This window comes from Homo sapiens, chromosome 6 (genome assembly GCF_000001405.40).
Source record: "Homo sapiens chromosome 6, GRCh38.p14 Primary Assembly".
NCBI classification, from domain to species: domain Eukaryota; kingdom Metazoa; phylum Chordata; class Mammalia; order Primates; family Hominidae; genus Homo; species Homo sapiens.
Window position 1 is genome coordinate 64,008,667 of NC_000006.12, and position 24,475 is coordinate 64,033,141.

Sequence of the window (24,475 nt, forward strand, 5' to 3'; positions counted from 1 at the left end):
TGAATTCTCTTAGCATTTGCTTGTCTGAAAAGGATCTTATTTCTTCTTTGCTTTTAAACTTAGTTTAACTGAGTGTGAAATTCATGGTTGGAAGTTATTTTCTTTAAGAATGGTGAATATAGGCCCCCAATCTCTTCTTGCTTTTAGGGTTTCTGCTGAAAGGTCTGCTGTTAGCCTGATGGGGTTCCCTTTGTAGGTGACCTGCCCCTTCTCTCTAGCTGCCTTTAACACACTTTTAATGTATTTCAACCTTGGAGAATCTGACGACTATGTGTTTTGAGCATGGTCATCTTGTATAGTATCTAACAGGTGTTCTCTGCATTTCCTGAATTTGAATGTTGGCCTCTCTAGTGAGGTTGAGGAAATTTTCATGAATGATACCCTGAAATGTTTTCCATGTTGCTTGCTTTCTCTCCTGCTCTTTCAGGGATGCCAATGAGTTGTAGATTTGGTCTTTACCTAATCTCATTTCTTGGAGGTTTATTCATTTATTCATTTTTTATTCATTTTTCTTTATTTTTGTCTGACTGAGTTATTTTGAAGAACTGGTCTTCGAGCTCTGAGATTCTTTCCTCCGCTTGGTCAATTCTGCTGTTAATTTGTGTTAGGAAATTCTCGATTTTTTTTTTTTTTTGGAGACGGAGTCTCACTCTGTCACCCAGGCTGGAGTGCAGTGGCGTGATCTCGGCTCACTGCAAGCTCCGCCCCCCAGGTTCATGCCATTCTCCTGCCTCAGCCTCCCGAGTAGTTGGGACTACAGGCACCCACCACCACGCAAGGCTAATTTTTTTGTATTTTCAGTAGAGATGGGGTTTCACCGGGTTAGCCAGGATGGTCTCAATCTCTTGACCTCGTGATCTGCCCACCTCGGCCTCCGAAAGTGCTGGGATTACAAGCGCGAGCCACTTCTCCCGGCCAGCTTGGTTCTTTCTTAAAATGACCATTTCATCTTTCATCTCCTGTATCTTTTTATTGTACTCCTTAGATTCTTTAGATTTTTTGACTTTGTTCTGAATCTTGATGATCTTTGTTCCTATCCGTATTCTGAATTCAATTTTGTCATTTCAGCCATTTAGGCCTGATTAAGTACCATTGCTGGAAAACCAGTTCAGTTTTTGGAGGTAAAAAGGCACTCTGGTTTTTTGAGTTGCCAGAGTTCTTGCGCTTGTTCTTTCTCATCTATATGGGTTGATATTCTTTCAGTCTTTGAAGTTGCTATCCTTTGGATGTGTTTTTGGTTTGTTTGTTTGTTTTTGCTTTTATCTTCTTTGATTTCCTTGGGGGTTTGATTGTGGTACAAAGTGGGTTCAGTTAACTGGCTTCATTTCTGGAAGGTTTTAGGGGGCCAGTGCTCAGCTCAGCACTCCTGGGCTGTGTGCTCTAACTCTGGGGGGTGGGGCTGGTACCAGACTCCTGGCTTTTTCTCTCTGGCCCCTTGAGGTTATGAACCTGCTGTGCTGGCAGGGCTGAGATATTTCCAGTCCGCTGGCCAGAACGCTCCGGTGAAGGGGAGCTGGCCAAAGCACTGCGTCGGGGTGGCAGCAGCAGGATCTGTGCTCAGTTGCACATGCCTGCACCGTGGCAGAGTACTGGCGAGACTGGGGATGCGGTGCTCCTGCTCTGACAGTGGTGGTGGTGTGGCAGGGGCAGGGTGTTGGCAGGTGCAGGGCTTCCAGCCTCCATGTGTGCATTTGCACTGGTGGCATTGGCTGTGTGTGTGTTTGGTTGGGGGGGGGGGTGGTGGTGTGGAGAGAAGGGGGACAGGGCTGTGGCCTGTAATTTCTCTTTTTAAATAGTAAAATTATTCCTTCATTTATGCTTTCTAGTGTTTTAAAAATACTTTAGAGTTTTTTCAGGCCCTTTCATAAAAATTGTCTTATCTAGAATGATTCCTGTTCCATTGTTGGTTTTCTTGGTTCCTTTTCCAGTATCTTTATGGGTTCTGATATTGTACTGTGCAGGCCCATTTTGAATGGGAGGTATGTTTCTTTTTCTCTCTTTTTGTGTACTCCCATTCTTCATGTCCTGTGTTCTTCTGCTGTGCCCAACCCTACCTGCTGAATGAGAAACGTACCTGATCTTTTGACACTGAAACCGGAATCTTCGCTAAAAGGTATTTGGTAGTTCTGTCCTACAATGATACTGGAAATATTCACAGGTCCATTCACAGAGCTGACAGACTGCTTGGCATAATTCAGGTCATGATACTTTGATTGCATTCTGTTCTCTTCCTGGGCTGGCAGCTTGCTAAAAGTCAGAATTCCAGATGGCAGCCTTTCTCTTTTTCTGAGTATATATATATGAATATATTTATATTCCCTTATATATTTTATTTATCTTTATAAACCTATATCTATATCAGATCTTTCACAAATCTTTTTGAGCAAATAGTTTTAGTTCCTTTTACCTTACAGGAGATAAGCTTTTCTATTTCTAGATTTATATCTTAGCAAGTATGTACTCTTACCTTCTTTGCTGCTTTGCATATTTGTCTATTTCTTGTCTAAAGATATGTTTGTCTTGTTTTTGAACTTGCCTTCATGTTTTCAGTTTTCTTCCTTTATTTTTTCTATCACTGCTAGCACATAAAAGTGTGAAGTTACAGAGTCATCTTGACCCGAAATCCCCCATTTTCTTTTTTTATTATGAGAAAACACAAAAATGAAAGATCAAACTAAGTTCTTGCCTTTGAAGGGACATGTACATAGAAAATTGTCTTTAATTTGTGAGAGGTAGGATGAAAAAAAAGTTAACCAAGCCATTTGGAAGTGCCTTCATGATTTTGCAGTCTTTAAATTTGGAAGGACTAATTTCTTTGGCTTTTCTATCTCAGGTTTGTTTTGTGCTATAGGCATTTGAATGCATCTGTCTCATATTTTTTTTTCCAGTGGTATATTTCAAAAGCACATAAGTAAAGTAGTTTGTTTTTTTTTTTTCCAGAGAGAAATAGAACGTATGGATTTTTTTTTCTTTTTAAGGTACCTATGTTTTATTTGTCAAATCTGGTGGTTATATGAGTTATTGGCATCAAACCATAATGAAATTAAATGCTTTAAAGCAGTATCTCATTGCTGGGCTGAAGGTGTGTGAAACCTAGTTCATGTATAATTGCAGCATGAAGCCATGATGTAACAGTAAGAAAACTGAACAGCACCAACTGCTTCTAGGGAATACTGCAAAATTGATGATGATACTGAATGCTTTCACAGGTGCAAAACATAAATGTTCTTTTCTCTTGTCTTTAGGCTTGGCAATTACCCAACAATAACACTGGCTTGTTTATTTTAGATTTTGGGCATGCATTAACATTGCTAATAAGTTTTTCCTCTCCTCTCCTCTCCTCTCCTCTCCTCTCCTCTCCTCTCCTCTTGTCCCCTCACCCCCTCCCCTCCTTTCCTTTCTTTCCTTTCATTTTCTTAGTTAAATGTTAAAAATGAATGCAAAAATGTCTATCTTCCAGATTTTAATTATTTCCAGATTAATAACTTGAATTTCTGACCAATAATAGTTTGCCTTAATGTATACTGAATAAATGTAAGTCTATTGCTCTGAAGTGAATAGTAGCATATGAATTAAGCATTAACTCAGAACTTTTATTTAAAAGAATCTTCTTAGGCTACATTTAAGATAGAAAGAGGGTAAGTTCAGTTGTTAGCAACTATGATCTCCATGCTCAGCCAGAAGTTTTAGCTGACTAGTGACAGCTCTACATGAGAATAGCTGGGATGGGAGACTCAGAGCCCAGAGACTCAGTATCAGCAGATGGCAGTAAAGGTACATGGCAGAGATGGAGGCACTGAAAGGAATCTGATCCCTACAAAGACTAACTTAAGATCTAATTGATAGCATTATTGTTTTACCTCCCTGTTTGTAACAGGGAAACATGGAAAATATATTTCAAAAATTAGACATTAGGCAGTATGGGTGAAACTGTCCAGAGACATACAGCTTTCCTTACCACTTCACTTATCCAGTGTGATTGTCATGGCTGGGTAAGCAAATTTAAGGAAATGCTGTTTCCTAAAAGTGGGATGGTTTTCATACAGCCCTATCAACACAGCCATATTTCTTGACATTGTCTGTGCAACTCAGCACAAAATAAATGTTAAACAGTATAAAAAAAGGATCACGCATAAAAGCCACAGTGTCAGGACTTTTGTCTAGCAAAAGCAATATAAACACACTGTTTTTAAAAAGCATCCTGTTTTTGCTTAGATCGTCACAGAGTTGGCCAGCCTGACAGTACAAAGAGCTTTGTATAAAAAGCGCTCCATGACCTCTAATAAGTGATTTTTCTGAGCACTTCCTGCCTCTGGATGATAGTCATGTGGCGGTCACTAGTTTTAGATTATATTAGTTAGACTTCTCTCTGACAAAACAGCCCAAATACACTTTATAATAAATTACAGAGAAAACCAAGCCATTTTCCTGTGATGTACTGATATTAAAAAAGGATCTGTGATGATTCCTGAGGACCACTGAAGCAGAAACTTCACTTACTCCCTTGATTAAACAGAGCAGTCGTCAAGGGAACATACAACCAGCCATCACGAGATACTGGAGATTTTCCAAGAACTGTGATTTTCTTTCCGACTACGCTATCCAATTCACGTGCAATGGGACTCGCAGCATATTCTCTAGATTTCATGGTCTCCTGGTAGCGCCTCTAAATGTGTAAATGCCCAGAATTCTCTTGTTTTCTTTAGCCGGTAAAAGCATTCATATAATGACAATTACAATTACACAAATATAAATTTGCATCCAGAAAGCTTCCTGTTTTTTTTGACCTGACATCCATTTCTAACCTCTCTGAACATGTTGATGATGAGTGTCAATGGGATGCTGGAGGAGCCTGGCACTAGCTCGTGAGAGCTAATTTTGCATATCTTTCCCAAATGCCACATTCAGTGAATTCATATTGTTAGCTTGAAATATAGGCCATGGTAAAAGTATTTATTCCAGGGAAAGTGGCAAATGCTACAAATCACCACCCCACCCTTTTTTTTTCCCTGAGAGATGATTCTTAAAAACCAGTATGCCACTGAGTTTCTTGAACATTTCTTAGTAGCATTTAAGTATTCACTTAGAACAAGGGCATTAGGAAAGCTGAAAAGCTCAACTTCACTGTTGCCATTTCGTTTGAGATTTCAGTAAAAAAAAAATTCTTTTTCTTTTTGGAATCTATTATTTCACAGTTCTAGATTGGGCTAATTCACTCTGATGGTGAATGTAAGTTCTAAGAATATTACCCTAAAACCTACACATGTTCAGTTTACAAATACGAGATAGTATTTAATTTTATTCTCCACTTCCAGTACTTATTATGTACTCAATTTATTTGGTTTTTAGTAGTTTTAGGGGTGTTCACTCCTCTGAGTAATCAATTAAAACTCAGGACTTAAAACATTGATTTCTGATCCTTTCATCTCAAACATTTGAACTCACACACACACATATTTTGAAAGAAAGAAGTTTTTTTTTCAAGTTAAAAGACCGTATGGAAAAACTCAATTAGGTAACAAGCAGATCACTTTACCAAAATTTAAACAAAAAGTAATTCAGATGATATTGGTAGGTGGAGATTCACTCACATTAGGTGGTAAATGAAAAGGCCATGTGTGTCCCTGCCATTTTTTTTTTTACAAAGATATGTTACAGTGAGGGATTCTTTTTATAAAATTGCCTTAACATTAAGTATGTAGTTTTTTTGTTTTCTAATAATACTTCAGTTTCCAAATGGTTGGTACTATTTGCAGTACATAATTTTCCTGACAATGCATTTTACTGAGATTTATGAAGAAACAGAAAATATTTTAATGTTAAGATATTTATACTGTATTATGTTTAATCCAGTGAAGTCAGTAATAATCCTAGTTTCACATTTGTATTAAAAATATGAAGAGAGAGTAGATGACTAGAGATGTAAAACATTTAAATTTCTGAAGCACTCTCTGAGCCAAAGTTGTAAATATACTTATCACTCTAAGTGTAAAAAGGCTACAGTGTGATCCATTGGGTGAGTCTTGGATCAATACCTCTTTGGTTTCTGGTTTCTCTACCAGCTAGCACACAGTCTAAATATCCTTTGGCTTGGCTTATTTAGTCTTTTTTTATTTTTTTTTTTTTTGGTTTCTGAGGTTTTAGGTACACCACTTCCCCTTCTAACTGTCCTTTCTATACCCTTTGTCAAACATGACTCCCCCATCTTTAAAATTTCCTATAGGGAGAGAAGAACAGTTAAAACCTTACCCTAGGCAAACTTTCAATTTGGAGATAACCAAGACATGTAAACTTTTAGAAATTCAACCAATATAAAAATAGGTAGAACTGATGAATATCTGTAATCTAGGCTTAATGATTGAAAGAAGAGTTACTAGCCCTTCTTTAAGTCAATTTCTTATAAATAGCTTCCACAAGAGCACTTTCAATTTAAAGATTGAGAAAAATTTAATTGAATAAGTAACCATGATGATGAAAAAAATTGCTTTGTTTTGCACTCTTACAATAGAGATAATAATTCCTGGAGTTGTTTCTGATAAAAAACAATTACACTAAACATTTTGGAATTTTTCCAGAAGATGATACATAAAATTTGAGTAGAACCAAAATCCACATCTCATATAAAGAGAAAAATCACTGATGGTTAGAGACAATGGTTTGAATGTTTTGTACTGCTTTATATAAATAGCAAACTAAATATTGCAAGGCTCATAGGCTCAAGACCACAGGCAAATTTAATAAACTCTAAAAATCTATAATCTGTGTTAATTTTATTTATAAAGTCTCAATCCAATAATGATTTAAGGTAGCTTTAAATATAAGGTAAAATAGCAAAAAATAGAAGAAAAAAAGAAAAAATTGGTAACACAATAAAGGATAAAAGAAATTAGTTTTCAGGGAAATAATTTAAAATACAAATGAAAATAGATCTATTGATTCAACAGACAAATGATCGAATGCCTATTATATAAGAAATGTAGGTGATAGGTGATGGTGAGGTGAAGGTGAATAAAATTGTTGTAATCTGAAGGTCCTCACAGAGGGTAAGAAGGAAAGACATTGTCATTCTCTGAGAGGTCAGTTTTCACTGGAACCAGAGGAAGCATAGCCAGGGCACCTGCATCAGCAGCATAGGTTAGTGTTAATGAGGGCTGACAGGTTTGTGCACCAGCTTCAAGGCTGCATTCAAATAGAGACAGCAAGTAATGCCAGGATGAGTTTACACATAGAACACAAGCTGGGACTTCTTGGTTTCCAGGCTTATGAGGCAAAAAGGAAAGTAAGGAATTCTGAGTGCTGAGCTTTGTTGCTTCTAGGAAACAAAGAAACAAACAAAGGAACTATGTTTTCTCCCATTTTTGGCTTTTTTGCTCCTTTTCTTTAGCAAATTCCATTTCACCACCTGGTACCTTTGGGCTGCTCTGTCCTGCCTCCTATTAAAAGCAATGCAACCAATCAGGACAGACTGGAATAACATGTTTCAAAGTGACAGAGACCTTCACAGGGGTATGTTTTTATTATTAGCAATAGCTTCTTATAATCAAATACTGTATAATGGAATTATTTACTTTATTTAATAAACATTTATATAGCATTTATTATAGACCAGGCATTATCTCAAGTACTTTAAAATATTACACAGCAGCCACCCTCTGAGATAAATGGAAACATTCTTCCCATTTATAGGTGAGGAAATTGAGGCACCTAGGGGTTAAGTAATTTGCTCAAGGTCACAAAGTTCATAAATCACAGTGCTGGGTTATAAACCTGTACGTTGTAGCTCCAGAATCTATGCTATTGGCTGCTGTGTCATACCTTTTTGATTTTTTTTTTTTTTTTTTGAGACAGGGTCTTGCTCCGTCACCCAGGCTGGAGTGCAGCTCACTGTAGCCTCAATCTCCTGATCACATGCAATCCTCCTGCCTCAGACTCCCAAGTAGCTGGGACTACAGGCATACATCACTATGCCTGGCTAATTTTTGTATTTTCTGTAGGGACAGGGTCTCATTATGCTGCCAAGGCTGGCCTCAAACTACTGTGCTCAAGCTATCTGCCTATGTTGGCCTCCCACAGTGCTGGGATTACAGGTGTGAGCCACCATGCTTGGCCTCTTTTTGATTTCTAATGAGGGTATTGTACATTTCTTATTCGTCTCTTGTTAGCTAATCTATCTCTGATTAGCAGCAAATGACTAATTATTTAGCTTAACTGAGACAGGAAAGCTTTTCAATTCCTTTACTTCTGAAGGTATCCCTGTCTCCACCACTCACTCTGTTCTCTTAAGATGGAGGACTCCCTTCTTCCTGTCTCCTTTAATCATAATCTTTCCATCAATTGCACTCCGCATGTCCTTGGTCTTTTTTCCTCTAATTCCTGTCCTCTGCTTGAACCTTCCTAGGCTGCTGTCATATCCATCACTAGGACTGAACTCTTATATGAGTGCAAAGGCAAGGAGGGAAAGCTGAAAGCAAAATCTGTTGAGACCCCACAAACACTCCTTTCTGGACCTTGTTAATAGCAAGTAACAGGAAGGAGAGGGAGGCATACTACCACACCCTGTAGTGTTGGTGGCAGGTTCCTGGCAGGGTACCTAGAAGAGAATTACAGTGCCTGACAGGGCTGTGAGAGTGGATTTATTTGGGAACATCTGTGATCTACAATTGTGGGACTCTCTGCATGCTGGGGGTGGGAGATCTGTGGGTACTGAAGATGTTCAAGAAGCTGCATTACTACAATACGAGATTTCATTTGTTTCCATGGTCTGGTGAGGTCTCATAAAAATCAGGTAATGTCATATTATTCCATAGTTGTTGGTTTTGTGTCTGTTTTTCTCTCTGGCCTTCTGTTCCTCAGGTTCCTCCCTGGTAGCCTCAGCTGTAAGTACAGTACCTGATGCATAATGCACACAATGCACATATGCTGACCTGAAGCCAGTGTACTTGGGTGATGTGGGACCAAACAGGCCAGTGGAACTGTTTCTTAGACAAACCATTTTTCTTTACCTGCTGTCTGCTCTACCCACAGCCCAGTGACAATTCTATCTGCTCTCCCTGTGTGAAAGGTTCATCCTTTAGCACATCTGCTCATTAATATGAAGTGGTGAGAACAGTCAATATGCTCGTAATGATAGACCCAACTCTCAACCTAACTAGCTGTCTATGTTCGGGCAATTTACTTAAACCTCTGGGCAATTTACTTAAACCTCTCTGAGTTTCCTGATACATAAAGGAACTTATACATTTTCATTGACCTTCTAAACCCTTATATTCTCTCATATTGCCCAATGTTCGATTATTTTGTATAAGAAATAATATGTTGGGAAATCAGAGATCCATGCAGTAGCATTTCTACCTCCATTTTATTTATAACCATGTCTTATGTGTAAACCTTGGTGCCAAGTTTATTCCTACTTAGTCCTGAGAAAAGACGTGGAATACACACTTATACACACACACACATACACATATATATACGTATATGTATATATAAATATGTAAATTAAAGCTGAATTCAGGAGTCAAGATATATTTGAAAAATATGCTACCATGGGATATTTCATTTGAAAACGTAAATTAACACAGTTTCCTTTGGAAAGTAGATAAAGAAATAGTTGTGACCTAGATATAGTATAAACCTCAGATTGGATTCATAATAGCATACCTCAGGAAAGTGATCTCTTTTATATATTCAGGGGTTTTTTGTTGTTGTTGTTGTTTGGATGTTTCTTCTTGCTTTCTCATCAAATCTAAACTCTTTAAATATCTGCATTAAGAATATGTTTTGACTTGCACATTGAGTAAGAATAAACTAATACTCATAGGTTTTGCAATTATACAGCCGAATAGCAAAAAATTTTTTGTGGTGTCTCAATTGAAATTTGATTTTGGTAACATTTTTGGTTTTCATATGCTGATGTCTAGCATATGGTAGAAAAATGGCCCCCTCAAAGGTATTTCTATATCCTAATTCTTAGAATCTGTAAATGTTACTTTATTTGGAAAAGGGTCTTTGCAAATGCGATTAAGTTAAAGTTTTTTGAGATGAAGAGATCATCCTGGGTTATTTGGGAGTGTCCTGAATGTCATCACAAGTGTTTTTTTTTTTTTTTTTTTTTTTTTTTTTTGTCGAGACAGAGTCTCACTCTGTTGCCCAGGCTGGAGTGCAATGGCACAGTCTCAGCTCACTGCAACCTCTGCTTCCTGGGTTCAAGCAAGTCTCCTGCCTCAGCCTCCTGAGTAGCTGGGACTACAGGCGCATGCCATCATGCCTGGTTAATTTTTATATTTTTAGTAGAGACGGGGTTTCGCCATGTTGGCCAGACTGGTCTTGAACTCCTGACCTCAAGTGATCCACCCACCTTGGCCTCCCAAAGTGCTGGGATTACAGGTGTGAGCCACCATGCCCGGCTCACAAATGTTCTTATAAGAGAGAATCAGAGAGAGTGAATGATTGGAGACTCAGGGGAAACGGTAATGTGAAGATAGCAACAAAACCTGGAATGATGCAACCACAAGCCAAGGAACACCAAGGAATGCCCTCAGTTGGCAGACGCTGGAAGAGGCAGTAATGGATTTTCCCTCAGGACTTCTGGAGAGAGTGCAGCCTGCCTACATAACATCTTGATTTCAGACTTCTGGTTTCCAGAGCTGTGAGATAATAAATTTCTGTTGTTTTAGGCCACATAGTTTGTGTCCATTTCTTATAGTAGCTACAAGAAACAAATAAAGGGCAAGATATTTTCTTTCTTTCCTTTTTATTTTTTTAAACGGAGTCTCGCTCTGTCTCCCAGGCTGGAGTTGAGTGGCGTGATCTCAGCTTGCTACAACCCCTGTCTCCTGGATTCAAGTGATTCTCCTGCCTTAGCCTCTCGAGTAGCTGGGACTACAGGCACAGGCCACCACGCCCAGCTAATTTTTGCATTTTTAGTGGAGACGGGGTTTCACCATATTGGCCAGGCTGGTCTCGAACTCCTGACCTTGTGATCTGCCCGCCTCGGCCTCTCAAAGTGCTGGGATTACAGGCATGAGCCACCACGCTCAGCCTCGTTCTTTCTTTTTTAAATGAAGTAATGTTAAAAATAAGAAGCAAAGGTTTGAATACTAACAGTGTTCAATAGTTGAATTTGGAGATGAATGAGATTAGAATGTGTATATATAAGTATATATATATATATGTATATATAAGTATATATATATATATATACTTACATATATAAGTGTATATAAGTGGACACTCTATTAAGATATACAGATAATCTGAATGCTTTGGGTTTAACAAATACCTCAGCTGTGCAGAGGCTATGAAATAGATCAGAAAGCAATAGTGTATCTCCTCTTAACATTTTCGCAGAGTAATCAGTGACAAGAAACACTGATAAAATCAACATAACTCTATTACAAACATCTAAACTCTAGTATCTACATTTATTGCTATTCAAATAGAGTAATAACAGTTAGGTAGAAGGAATGAATTCTTGTTTGATAGCAGAGTAGGGTGACTATAGTTAACAACAATGAATTGCATTTTTCAAAATAGCTAGACTAGAGGAACTGAAATGCAGCCAACACACAGAAATGACAAATACTATGGTGGTGAATACCCTAAGTATCCTGACTTGATTTTTACACATACAATGCATGTACAAAATTTTACATGTACCTATAAATATGTATAAATGTAATATATCATAAAACCTTTTCCTTTAAAAATGTTGATGAAATGTTTTCATCCAAATTACATAAACATACACATTTGTTTACTTAACTAAAAAAACACCAAACCAAGTCACGAAAACATTGTAACAGACTTCTGTAAAGTATAAGGTAGATTATGTTCACTATTATTCCTGATACCAAGGGCTTCATGGGGTGCAAATAGATGTGGTAGTAACAGGAAAAGAAATGGTAAAAATTATCCAACAATTTCCATTCCTTTCACATGTGATATTTTAGACTCTAAAACATCCCCACTTGATTATTTTGGGTGATTTTTGGGGATGGATTATATTTACTACTTATGATAAAAAGAAATATTGATATTCCAGAGTTTTACCAACTGTATTTTATTGATAGACAGTCAATGCAGCAAACTTTTCCATGGTGGGTTATGTTAACTTTGAATCATCTGATATGCTAGATAATGTCCTAATCTTGGGGAGAATATTATAAATGTTAAAATAATGTATTATTAATACCAAAGAAAGATCTCAATAGTGGTGCCATAGACAGATGGAGAAACCCTATTTTTGTATTAAAGGATTTCCTGGGAATCCAAGAATTATGATGACTACAGAAGATCCTCTACATTATATTGTGAAAATATTAGGGGAAGAACCAAGAAATGTCCACAAATGAGGAAACCTTATCATTATTACTATAGTCTTCCTAAAAATCTTTTCTACCCAAAAGCATTTTCTTAATTGAGAAATGGTTCTCACTTTGTCTATTTCTCATCCAAAGACTAAAATTCCTTGCAGTGATAGTTTTCAAGGGAAAAAAAAAAAGCCTTTTCTTTATTGCTTAGTAGCTTTGCTGCTGTTTTTGCAAAAGCCATTCTTTTTCTTTCCATCACAATTACCCTTTATTGAGCATTTTCTTAAGCCAGGTACTGGATTCAACGCCACACATGATCTATCTCAAGGCAGTAGTGCTAGACTGGGGGGAGTTTGCTTCCTGGGGTACATTTGACAATGCCTAGATACATGTTTCTTTATCACAACAGGGAATGAGGATGCTACTGACATCTAGTAGGCAGAGGTCAGGGATGCTGGCAAACTTCCTACAATGCACAGGACTGCCTGGAATAATAAAGAAGGATACAGCCCTAAATTGTCAACAATGCACATCTTGAGAAAAATGTTCCAAAGTAAAAGCTGAGTGATTGTTCATCAGCTAAATAAATGGTAAGTCTTGTTATAAGTAGGAGGAACAATGGGACATGGTTTTTCTACAATGGATGAATTGAAAAGATTATCATATGTTGTAACATTTTTCTATTTGTAGGGAATACATTCACTACATTCACATGGTCCAAGATTCAAAAGATACTCAAGAAGTTGTAGTCCAAGTCTCCCTCCCACCCCATCCCTGTTTCACCCAAGTTCCCTCCCTGGAGGAAACTGTTAGTAATCTCTTATTTAGTTACCTAAAAGTTCTCTAGGCCTCTGTAAGAAATTATATACATGCACAGAAACATACTATACATATTCTTTGCATTGTGCTTTTGTTACAATTCATTTTGGAGATTGTTTTCTATCATGATACAAAGCGTTTCCCCATTATTTCTTTTTAAGATAGCAAAGTATTTCATTGTAGGTTGTATGCAAGTTTTCTATTTTATGTAACCATTCCCCTCTCTATGGATATTTAGATTATTTCCTTTTTTTCTGTTACAGACACTGATCAATGAATATCTTTATCTGTGAGTTTAAGTCCTACAAACAGAATTGCCAAATAAGCACATTTGTGCTTGTAATTTTTATCAGATGTTGTCCAAATTACCCTCCATTCTCCATTAAATTGAATATGTTTCCATTCACACTGGCAATACATATATAAAGGAGTTTGGATAACTTTATAATTTTAAAAGTTTTTCTCATTCTTTTCATCAAAACCTGAGAATAAATAAGAGGTGGACACACAATATAATATTTTCTGTCTAAAATGTTCTCAGCACTCAGGTATCCAGAATCTATTCATGGGAGATATTTTTTTTCTAATCTGTTTTTAGTGCGCTAAAATATATAACATAAACTTTACCATTTTCACAATTATTGTGTACAATTCATTGGCATTAAGTACTTTTATAATGTTATGCAAATATCATTATTGGCTATTTCTAAATTATTTCATCACAACAAAAAGAAACTAATCTGTGAAAGCTGAAAGAATTTGGTCATTCTTGTCATACCCAGCTAAAACAGAGTTCAGAGCCAGAAAGAAAAAAGCACCCAGGGCACATAACATTTCTTCAAGAATGTTATTCTCTGCAAGCGTGGCTGCTGAAACTGCCTGCTCCAACCTGAAACCAGTTTTATTCAATATCTACTGAAACAGGCTGCTGTGACTCTAAGAATAGTTTTACCCACACCCATCACTTATTTAGAGCTTACCAGCTCCCCAAAACTAGTGCCAATGAATTTTCCTGAAGAACAATACATAACATTTCTTCTTTTTATAAAACCGCCAACCTTCTCTTTGTTCTTTAGACATAGCAAAGACCACCCTGTCTGTGTGTATGCCCTGAAATGAAATTCTTGCTTCTCAAATAAAACGTTTTATATTTAGAGATTTGTCTTTAATTTTTTACTCGACTTCAACAAACCATTATGCAATAATTCCCCATTCTGCCCTTCTCTAGCCACTGGTAACCTTTGATTAATTTCTGTCTCTATGAATTTGCCCATTCCATATAGTATATTTCACATAAGTGGAATCATATAATACTTGTCTTTTTGTGTCTGGATTATTGCACTTAGCATAAAGTTTTCAAGATTAATTCATGCTGTAGCAAGTATCAGAACTTCATTTCTTCTTAGGTCTGAATAGCATTTCATTGTATGCATATAGCTTATTTTAAAATCTATTTCTCTGTTGATCGATACTTCTCCATTTGGGTTGTGAACAATTCTGCTATGAACATTGACATATAAGTATCTGTTTGAATCCCTGTTTTCAATTCTTTTGCATATGCATCTGGGGTGGAATTGTGGGGGTCATATAGTAAATACGTGTTTAACTTTTAGAGCAACCATTAAACTGTTTCTACCATTTGTAGTGTACCATTTTACGCTGTACATGGTAAAATGTACACTTATATTTTACACTTTACATTGTACGGTGTAAAATGGCATGGTCTCGATTTTTCCACAGCTTCACCAACACTTGTTATTTTTCTTTTTTTAAATAAAAATTATGGCCATTGTAGTAGATGTGAAGTGGTATTGAGAGGCAACAGTGTGCGCCCTCACTAGCTCTCGGCACCTCCTTTGCCTGGGCTCCCACTTTGGCGGCACTTGGGGAGGCCTTCAGCCTGCCGCTGCACTGTGGGAGCCCCTTTCTGGGCAGGCCAAGGCCAGAGCCGGCTCCCTCAGCTTGCGAGGAGGTGTGGAGGGACAGGCGCGGGTGGGAACTGGGGCTGTGCCGCGGTGTTTGCGGGCCAGCGCGAGTTCCAGGTGGGCGTGGGCTCAGTGGGCCCCGCACTCGTAGTGGCCGGCCGGCCCCGCCAGCCCAGGGCACCGAGGGGCTTAGCACCTGGGCCAGCAGCTGCTGTGCTCAATTTCTCACCGGGCCTTGGCTGCCTTCCCGCGGGGCAGGGCTCAGGACATGCAGCTCGCCATGCCTGAGCCTCCCCCTCTCTCTGTGGGCTCCTGTGCTGCCCGAGCCTCCCCGATGAGTGCCACCCCCTGCTCCACAGCGCCCAGTCCCATCGACCACCCAAGGGCTGAGGAGTGCAGGCGCAGGGCGCAGGACTGGCAGGCAGCTCCACCTGCAGCCCTGGTGCGGGATCCACTGGGTGAAGCCAGCGGGGCTCCTGAGTCTGGTGGGGACTTGCAGAACCTTTATGTCTAGCTAAGGGATTGTAAATGCACCAATCAGCACCCTGTGTCTAGCTCAGGGTTTGTGAATGCACCAATTGACACTATGTATCTAGCTACTCTGGTGGGGACTTGGAGAACATTTGTGTGGTGACACTCTGTATCTAGCTAATCTGGTGGGGACTTGGAGAACATCTGTGTCTAGCTCAGGGATTGTAAACGCACCAATCAGCACCCTGTCAAAACAGACCACTCGGCTCTACCAATCAGCAGGATGTGGGTGGGGCCAGATAAGGGAATAAAAGCAGGCTTCCCGAGCAAGCAGTGGCAACCTGTTTGGGTCCCCTTCCACACTGTGGAAGCTTTGTTCTTTCACTCTTTGCAATGAATCTTGCTGCTCCTCACTCTTTGGGTCCACACTGCCTTTATGAGCTGTAACACTCACTGTGAAGGTCTGCAGCTTCACCCCTGAAGCTAGCGAGACCACGAACTCACCGGGAGGAATGAACAACTCCAGACGTGCCACCTTAAGAGCTGTAACACTCACTGCAAAGGTCCGCAGCTTCACTCCTGCGCCAGCGAGATCACGAACCCACCAGAAGGAAGAAACTCCAAACACATCCGAACATCAGAAGGAACAAACTCCCGACGCGCCACCCTAAGAGTTGTAACACTCACCGTGAGGGTCTGCGGCTTCATTCTTGAAGTCAGTGAGACCAAGAACCCACCAATTCTGGACACATTTTGGCGACCACGAAGGGACTTTCGCCTATCGCCCAGTGGTATGACAATCACCATGTGGTGAGACCATCGCCTATTGCCGAGCAGTGAGACAATTGCCTATCACCAAGCAGTGAGTACCATCAGACGCCTTTCACTTGCTATTCTGTCCTATCTTTCCTTAGAATTCGGGGGCTAAATAACCGGGCACCTGTCAGCCAGTTAAAAGCAACTAGTGCGGCTGCCGGACTAAAGACACGGGTGCCAGGCTTTCTGGGAAAGGGCTCTCTAACAACCCCCAACTCTTTGGAGTTGGGACCGTTGGTTTGCCTAGAACCAGCTTCCACTTTTCCTGTACTTCTGGGCTGAGCTGAGGATCGACAGAGAGGAAAGCTGTGCAGCTCCGAGGTCCCAACAACAAGTTGGTTGACCCTGCAGCCATGAGCGGAACTCTCAAATGCATGTCGCCCAAGCAAGACTCACCCATCTATCCTATCTATCCTGACCCTTGCCCCTTGGGTCCTAATGCCTACCAGACAAACTTCCTCTCGCCTCTCTTCTCTGAGGTTAGTCCTCCTTCTAAAAATTGCTACCTGTCTCTGGTGCTTTTCTAGTTTCTCCTATGAGAATGATTTCTAGTATAAACTCCAGGACTCTGTTACCTTCTTTAGGCACCTGGGCTCACCAATCAGAAAGACATAATTTTTGCCCAAAGCTCCGTCATAGTGGGGACTACCTGGAATTTAGGATCCCTCCTCAGACTAACAGGCCCAACAAAAGCTGTTCCCGAAGCTAGGATATGGGGAGCCTCAGAAAGTGTATCCTTCCTATTCATATAAGTGAAGACAAAAGGTGTCACTCTTCCAACCCTGGAGATCCCTTCCCTCCCTCAGGGTATGGCCCTCCACTTCATTTTTGGGGCATAACATCTTTATAGGAAAGGGGTAAAGTCCCAGTACTAACAGGAGAATGCTTAGGACTCTAACAGGTTTTCGAGAATGCATCAGTAAGGGCCAATAAATCCGATTTTTCTTGGTCAGTCCTCCTTGTGGTCTAGGGGACAGGCAAGGGTGCAGGTTTTTTAGAATGCCTCAGTAGGGACTACTAAATCCAACCTTCCTTGGTCCTCCATGTGGTCCGGGAGGAAAACTAGTGTTTCTGCTGCTGCGTCAGTGAGCGCAACTATTCTGATCAGTAGGGTCAGGGACCGTTGTGGGTTCTGGGGCAGGGGTTGTTTCTGCTGCTGCATCAGTGAGCACAACTATTCCGATCAGCAGGGTCCAGGGACTGTTATGGGTTCTTGGGCAGGGGTTGTTTCTGCTGCTGTGTTGGTGAGTGCAACTATTCCGATCAGCAGGGTCCAGGGTCCGTTGTGGGTTCTTGGGCAGGGGGAAGAAACAAAACAAACCAAAACCATGGGCGGTTTTGTCTTTCAGATGGGAAACACTCAGGCATCAACAGGATCACCCTTGAAATGCATCCTAAGCCATTGGGACCAATTTGACCTATAAACCCTGAAAAAGAGGCAGCTCATTTTGTTTCTGCACTATGACTTGGCCCCAATATTCTCTCTCTGATGGGAAAAATGGCCACCTGAGGGAAGCACAAATTACAATACTATCCTGCAGCTTGACCTTTTCTGTAAGTGGGAAGGCAAATGGAGTGAAATACCTTATGTCCAAGCTTTCTTTTCATTGAGGGAGAATACACAATATGCAAAGCTTGCAATTTACATTCCACAGGAGGACCTCTCAGCTTACCCCCATATCCTATCCTCCTATAGCTCCCCTTCCTATTAATGATAATCCTCCTCTAATCTCCCCTGCCCAGAAGGAAATAAGCAAAGAAATCTCCAAAGTACCACAAAACCCCCTAGGCTATCGGTTATGTCCCCTTCAAGCTGTAGAGGGAGGGGAATTTGGCCCAACCCGGGTACATGTCCCCTTCTCCCTCTCTGATTTAAAACAGATCAAGGCAGACCTGGGGAAGTTTTCAGATGATCCTGATAGGTACATAGATGTCCTACAGGGTCTAGGGCAAACCTTTGACCTCACTTAGAGAGATGTCACGCTACCGTTAGATCAAACGCTGGCCTTTAATGAAAAGAATGCGGCTTTAGCTGCAGCCTGAGAGTTTGGAGACACCTGGTATCTTAGTCGAGTAAATGATAGAATGACAGCCGAAGAAAGGGACAAATTCCCTACCAGTCAGCAAGCCATCCCCAGTATGGATCCCCACTGGGACCTTGACTCAGATCATGGGGACTGGAGTCATAAACATCTGTTGACCTGTGTTCTAGAAGGACTAAGGAGAATTAGAAAAAAGACCATGAATTATTCAATAATGTCCACCATAACTCAGGGAAAGGAAGAAAATCCTTCTGCCTTCCTCAAGTGGCTATGAGAGGCCTTAAGAAAATATACTCCCCTGTCACCTGAATCACTCCAAGGTCAATTGATTCTAAAGGATAAGTTTATTACCCAATCAGCCACAGATATCAGGAGGAAACTCCAAAAGCAAGCCCTGGGCCCTGAACAAAATCTAGAGGCATTACTAAACCTGGCAACCTCGGTGTTCTATAATAGGGACCAAGAGGAACAGGCCCGAAAGGAAAAGCAAGATCAGAGAAAGTCCGCAGCCTTAGTCATGGCCCTCAGACAAACAAACCTTGGTGGTTCAGAGAAGACAGAAAATGGAGCAGGCCAATCACCTGGTAGGGCTTGTTATCAGTGTGGTTTACTAGGACACTTTAAAAAAGATTGTCCAATGAGAAACAAGCTGCCCCCCATCTATGTCCACTGTGCCGAGGAAATCACTGGAAGGTGCACTGCCCCAGAGGACAAAGTTTCCCTGGGACAGAAGCCCCCAAACAGATGATCCAACAACAGGATTGAGGGTGCCTGGGGCAAGCGCCAGCTCATGTCATCACCCTCACTGAGCCCCGGGTATGTTTAACTATTGAGGGCCAGGAAATTGACTTCCTCCTGGACACTGGCACAGCCTTCTCATTGTTAATCTCCTGTCCTGGACGACTGTCCTCAAGGTCCATTACCATCTGAGGAATCCTGGGACAGCCTGTAACCAGGTATTTCTCCCACCTTCTCAGTTGTAATTGGGAGACTTTGCTCTTTTCACATGCCTTTCTTGTTATGCCTGAAAGTCCCACACCCTTATTAGGGAGGGATATATTAGCCAAGGCTGGAGCTATTGTCTACATGAATATGGGGAACAAGTTACCCATTTGTTGTCCCCTACTTGAGGAGGGAATCAATCCTGAAGTCTGGGCATTGGAAGGACAATTTGGAAGGGCAAAAAATGCCTGCCCAGTCCAAATCAGGTTAAAAGATCCCACCACTTTTCCTTATCAAAGGCAATATCCTTTAAGGCCTGAAGCTCATAAAGGATTACAGAATATTGTTAAACATTTGAAAGCTCAAGGCTTAGTAAGGAAATGCAGCAGTCCCTGCAACACCCCAATTCTAGGAGTACAAAAACCAAACGGTCATTGGAGAGTAGTGCAAGATCTTAGACTCATTAATGAGGCAGTAATTCCTCTATATCCAGTTGTACCCAACCCCTATATCCTGCTCTCTCAAATACCAGAGGAAGCAGAATGGTTCATAGTTCTGGACCTCAAGGATGCCTTCTTCTATATTCCCCTGCACTCTGAGTCCCAGTTCCTCTTTGCTTTTGAGGATCCCACAGACCACATGTCCCAACTTACGTGGATGGTCTTGCCCCAAGGGTTTAGGGATAGCCCTCATCTGTTTGGTCAGGCACTGGCCCAAGATCTAGGCCACTTCTCAATTCCAGGCACTCTGGTCCTTCAATATGTGGATGATTTACTTCTGGCTACCAGTTCAGAAGCCTCGTGCCAGCAGGCTACTCTAGATCTTTTGAACTTTCTAGCTAATCAAGGGTACAAGGTGTCTAGGTCAAAGGCCCAGCTTTGCCTACAGCATGTCAAATATCTAGGCCTAATCTTAGCCAGAGGGACCAGGGCCCTCAGCAAGGAACGAATACAGCCTATACTGGCTTATCCTCACCCTAAGACATTAAAACAGTTGAGGGGGTTCCTTGGAATTACTGGCTTTTGTGGACTATGGATCCCCAGATACAGCGAGATAGCCAGGCCCCTCTATACACTAATCAAGGAAACACAGAGGGCAAATACTCATCTAGTAGAATGGGAACCAGAGGCAGAAACAGCCTTCAAAACCTTAAGGCAGGCCCTAGTACAAGCTCCAGGTTTAAGCCTTCCCACAGGACACAACTTCTCTTTATATGTCACAGAGAGAGCCGGGATAGCTCTTTGAGTCCTTACTCAGACTTGTGGGACAACCCCACAGCCAGTGGCATACCTAAGTAAGGAAATTGATGTAGTAGCAAAAGGCTGGCCTCACTGTTTAAGGGTAGTTGCAGCAGTGGCCATCTTAGTGTCAGAGGCTATTAAAATAATACAAGGAAAAGATCTCACTGTCTGGACTACTTATGATGTAAATGGCATACTAGGTGCCAAAGGAAGTTTATGGCTATCGGACAACCGCCTACTTAGATACCAGGTACTCCTCCTTGAGGGACCGGTGTTTCAAAAATGCACGTGTGTGGCCCTCAACCCTGACACTTTTCTCCCAGAGGATGGGGAACCAATCGAGCATGACTGCCAACAAATTATAGTCCAGACTTATGCTGCCCAAGATGATCTCTTAGAAGTCCCCTTAACTAATCTTGACTTTAACCTATATACTGATGGAAGTTCATTTGTGGAGAATGGGATACGAAGGGCAGGTTATGCCATAGTTAGTGATGTCACCATACTTGAAAGTAAGCCTCTTCCCCCAGGGACCAGTGCCCAGTTAGCAGAACTAGTGGCACTTACCCGAGCCTTAGAACTGGGAAAGGGAAAAAGAATAAATGTGTATACAGATAGCAAGTATGCTTATCTAATCCTACATGCCCATGCTGCAATATGGAAAGAGAGGGAGTTCCTAACCTCTGGGGGAGCCCCCATTAAATACCACAAGGAAATTATAGAGTTATTGCACACAATGCAAAAACACAAGGAGGTGGCACTCTTACACTGCCAAAGCAATCAAAATGGGAAGAAGAGGGGAGAACAGCAGCATAAGCAGCTGGCAGAGGTAGGGAAAGACCAGCAAGAAGGAAAGAGGGAAAGACAAAGAGAAAGAGACAGAGAGAGGAAGAGACAGAGAGACAGAAAGTCAAAGAGGGAGTCAGAAACAGAGACAAAGAAAAGGAGTCAGAAGGAGGGACAGACACAGAAAGTCAAAAAGAGAGTTAAAAAGAGAGGAAGAGACAAAGAAGAAGTCGAAGGGAGAAGGAGAGAGATGGAAGTAGTAAAGAAAAAACAGTGTACCCTACTCCTTTAAAAGCCAGGGTAAATTTCTGTCTACCCAGCCAAGGCATATTTTTCTTAAGTGGAATGTCGACCCATATCTGCCTCTCAGACAGTTTGCAAGAAATAACGAAATCTATTCTTACTTTACAATCCCAAATAGACTCTTTGGCAGCAGTAACTCTCCAAAACTGCCGAGGACTAGACCTCCTCACTGCTGAGAAAGAAGGACTCTGCACCTTCTTAGGGAAAGAGTGTTGTTTTTACACTAACCAGTCGGGGATAGTACGAGATGCCGCCCGGCGTTTACAGGAAAAGCCTTCTGAAATCAGATGCCTTTCAAATTCTTATACCAACCTCTGGAGTTGGGCAACATGGCTTCTCCCTTTTCTAGGTCCCGTGTCAGCCATCTTGTTATTACTTGCCTTTGGACCCTGTATTTTTAACCTGCTTGTCAAATTTGTTTCCTCTAGAATTGAGGCCATCAAGCTACAGATGGTCTTACAAATGGAACCCCAAATCAGTTCAACTAACAACTTCTACTGAGGACCCCTGGACCAACGCGCTGGCACTTTCCCTGGCCTAGAGACCTCCCCTCTGGAGGACACTACAACTGCAGGGCCCCTTCATCGTCCCTATCCAGCAGGAAGTAGCTAGAGCGGTCATCGGCCAAATTCCCAACAGCAGTTGGGGTGTCCTGTTTAGAGGGGGGATTGAGAGGTGACGGCGTGTGCCCTCACTTGCTCTTGGCACCTCCTCTGCCTGGGCTCCCACTTTGGCAGCACATGGGGAGCTTCAGCCCGCTGATGCACTGTGGGAGCCCCTTTCTGGTCTGGCCAAGGCCGGAGCTGGCTCCCTCAGCTTGCGGGGAGGTGTGGAGGGAGAAGTGTGGGCGGGAACCGGGGCTGCACATGCTGTTTGCAGGCCAGCATGAGTTCTGGGTGGGCATGGGCTTGGCCAGCTCCGCACTCAGAGGGGCTGGCCGGCACCACCGGCCCTGGGCAGTGAGGGGCTTAGCACCTGGGCCAGCAGCTGCTGTGCTCAATTTCTCGCCAGGCCTTAGCTGCCTTCCCATGGGGCAGGACTGCGGACATGCAGCCTGCCATGCCTGAGCCACACCCCCAACCCCCACCCTCCATGGGCTCCTGTGCGGCCCAAGCCTCCCTGATCAGGATCGCCCCCTGCTTCATGGCACGCAGTCCCATCGACCACCCAAGGGCTGAGGAGTGCAGGCGCAGGGCGCAGGACTGGCAGGCAGCTCCACCTGCGGCCCGGTGCAAGATCCACTGGGTGAAGCCAGCGGGGCTCCTGAGTCTGGTGGGGACTTGCAGAACCTTTATGTCTAGCTAAGGGATTGTAAATGCACCAATCAGCACCCTGTGTCTAGCTCAGGGTTTGTGAATGCTCCAATTGACACTCTGTTATCTAGCTACTCTGGTGGGGACTTGGAGAACTTTTGTGTGGTGACACGTGTGTCTAGCTAATCTGGTGGGGACGTGGAGAACATCTGTGTCTAGCTCAGGGATTGTAAACGCACCAATCAGCACCCTGTCAAAACAGACCACTCGGCTCTACCAATCAGCAGGATGTGGGTGGGGCCAGATAAGGGAATAAAAGCAGGCTGCCTGAGCCAGCAGTGGCAACCTGCTCTGGTCCCCTTCCACACTGTGGAAGCTTTGTTCTTTTACTCTTTGCAATGAATCTTGCTGCTGCTCTCTCTTTGGGTCCACACTGCCTTTATGAGCTTTAACACTCACCACGAAGGTCTGCAGCTTCACCCCTGAAGCCAGCGAGACCACGAACTCACCGGGAGGAATGAACAACTCCAGACGTGCCACCTTAAGAGCTGTAACACTCACTGCAAAGGTCCGCAGCTTCACTCCTGAGGCGGCGAGACCACGAACCCACCAGAAGGAAGAAACTCTGAACACATCCGAACATCAGAAGGAATAAACTCCCGACGCACCACCTTAAGAGCTGTAACACTCACCGCGAGGGTCCACGGCTTCATTCTTGAAGTCAGTGAGACCAAGAACCCACCAATTCCGGACACAGTATCTTACATGGTTTTGATTTGCTTTTCCCTAATGACAAATGATTTTGAGCACTTCTTTGTGTGCTTATTGGCCATTAAAGGGAAAAACTTTTTCTATATTTACAACATTTCTGACACCAAATGTGTGGGTTTTCTATACCACGTGTCTGTGGACACAAACTGAGCGTCCTACAATTTAACTCAGTTCTGACACTATCTGGAGTTAGCACAGACCCTACGGGTTAAGGGCTCAGGCCCACAAGACTAATCCTTGCTTCAGATGTCAATCTGAAGTAAGTAGTGGGTCTCTAGATTACCTATACATTTGTCTGGCTTGGCTACAAATTGGGGGTACACACAGCCCACCCTTGATTTTAATAATTTGCTATTCAGCTCACTGAACTCAGGAAAACACTTTTCTTACTAATACTGGATTATAAAGGATACTACTCAAGAATAGCCAAATAGAAGAGAGGCATGAGGCTATACAGAACTTTCATGTCCTTTCTAGCCATGCCACCCTTCTAGCATCTCAATTTGTTCACAAATCCAGACATTCTCTGAACTGCATTGTTTTAACATTTTTATGGAGGTTCCATTGCATAATTGAGTAAATCATTGGCCAGTGGTGATTAACTCACTCCCCAGCCACTCTCTCCTCTCTTGAGGAGACTTCAAGAGTCTTAGAAGCTCTTTTGTCAGGAAGAGGGGCTAAGACCAAACATTGTAACAGAAGATGCTCCTATCACTCAGGAGGTTACAAGAATTTTAGAAGCTCTGCCAGGAGCTAGAGACAGAAACCACATTTAGATTTCTTATTATGTAACAG

The 24,475-nt window shown here is 41.9% G+C and overlaps 1 protein-coding gene and 1 long non-coding RNA gene across 5 annotated transcripts in view, besides 2 other annotated features; one reads left to right on the top strand and one right to left on the bottom strand.

Moving 5' to 3' along the window:
* The window catches only part of EYS (eyes shut homolog), a 1,987,247-nt gene that overhangs the window by 288,687 nt on the left and 1,674,085 nt on the right, over window positions 1-24,475 (bottom strand). The gene's annotated exons all lie outside the window — the stretch shown is intronic.
* LOC107986608 (uncharacterized) overlaps window positions 1-24,475 on the top strand; it is a 94,049-nt gene that overhangs the window by 58,162 nt on the left and 11,412 nt on the right. For 2 of the 3 annotated variants that reach the window (XR_001744190.1, XR_001744188.1), the window contains one exon: window positions 12,721-12,901. This is a non-coding gene — a long non-coding RNA (uncharacterized LOC107986608). Of the gene's footprint in view, window positions 1-12,720; window positions 14,285-24,475 lie in introns of those variants that run through there. The other variant, XR_007059629.1, reaches the window with a different exon arrangement.
* Window positions 707-842: a silencer, noted in NCBI's record as "fragment chr6:64719266-64719401 (GRCh37/hg19 assembly coordinates)". NCBI's record gives its function as "represses an EF-1alpha promoter that drives an FKBP-Casp9 reporter gene in an ReSE screen in K562 erythroleukemia cells {active_cell/tissue: K562}" and the evidence as "EXISTENCE:reporter gene assay evidence [ECO:0000049][PMID:32094911]".
* Window positions 3,570-3,864: a silencer, noted in NCBI's record as "tiled region #3621; HepG2 Repressive DNase matched - State 12:CtcfO, and K562 Repressive non-DNase unmatched - State 13:Ctcf". NCBI's record gives its function as "represses a minimal TATA promoter and a strong SV40 promoter by Sharpr-MPRA in HepG2 and K562 cells {active_cell/tissue: HepG2 | K562}" and the evidence as "EXISTENCE:reporter gene assay evidence [ECO:0000049][PMID:27701403]".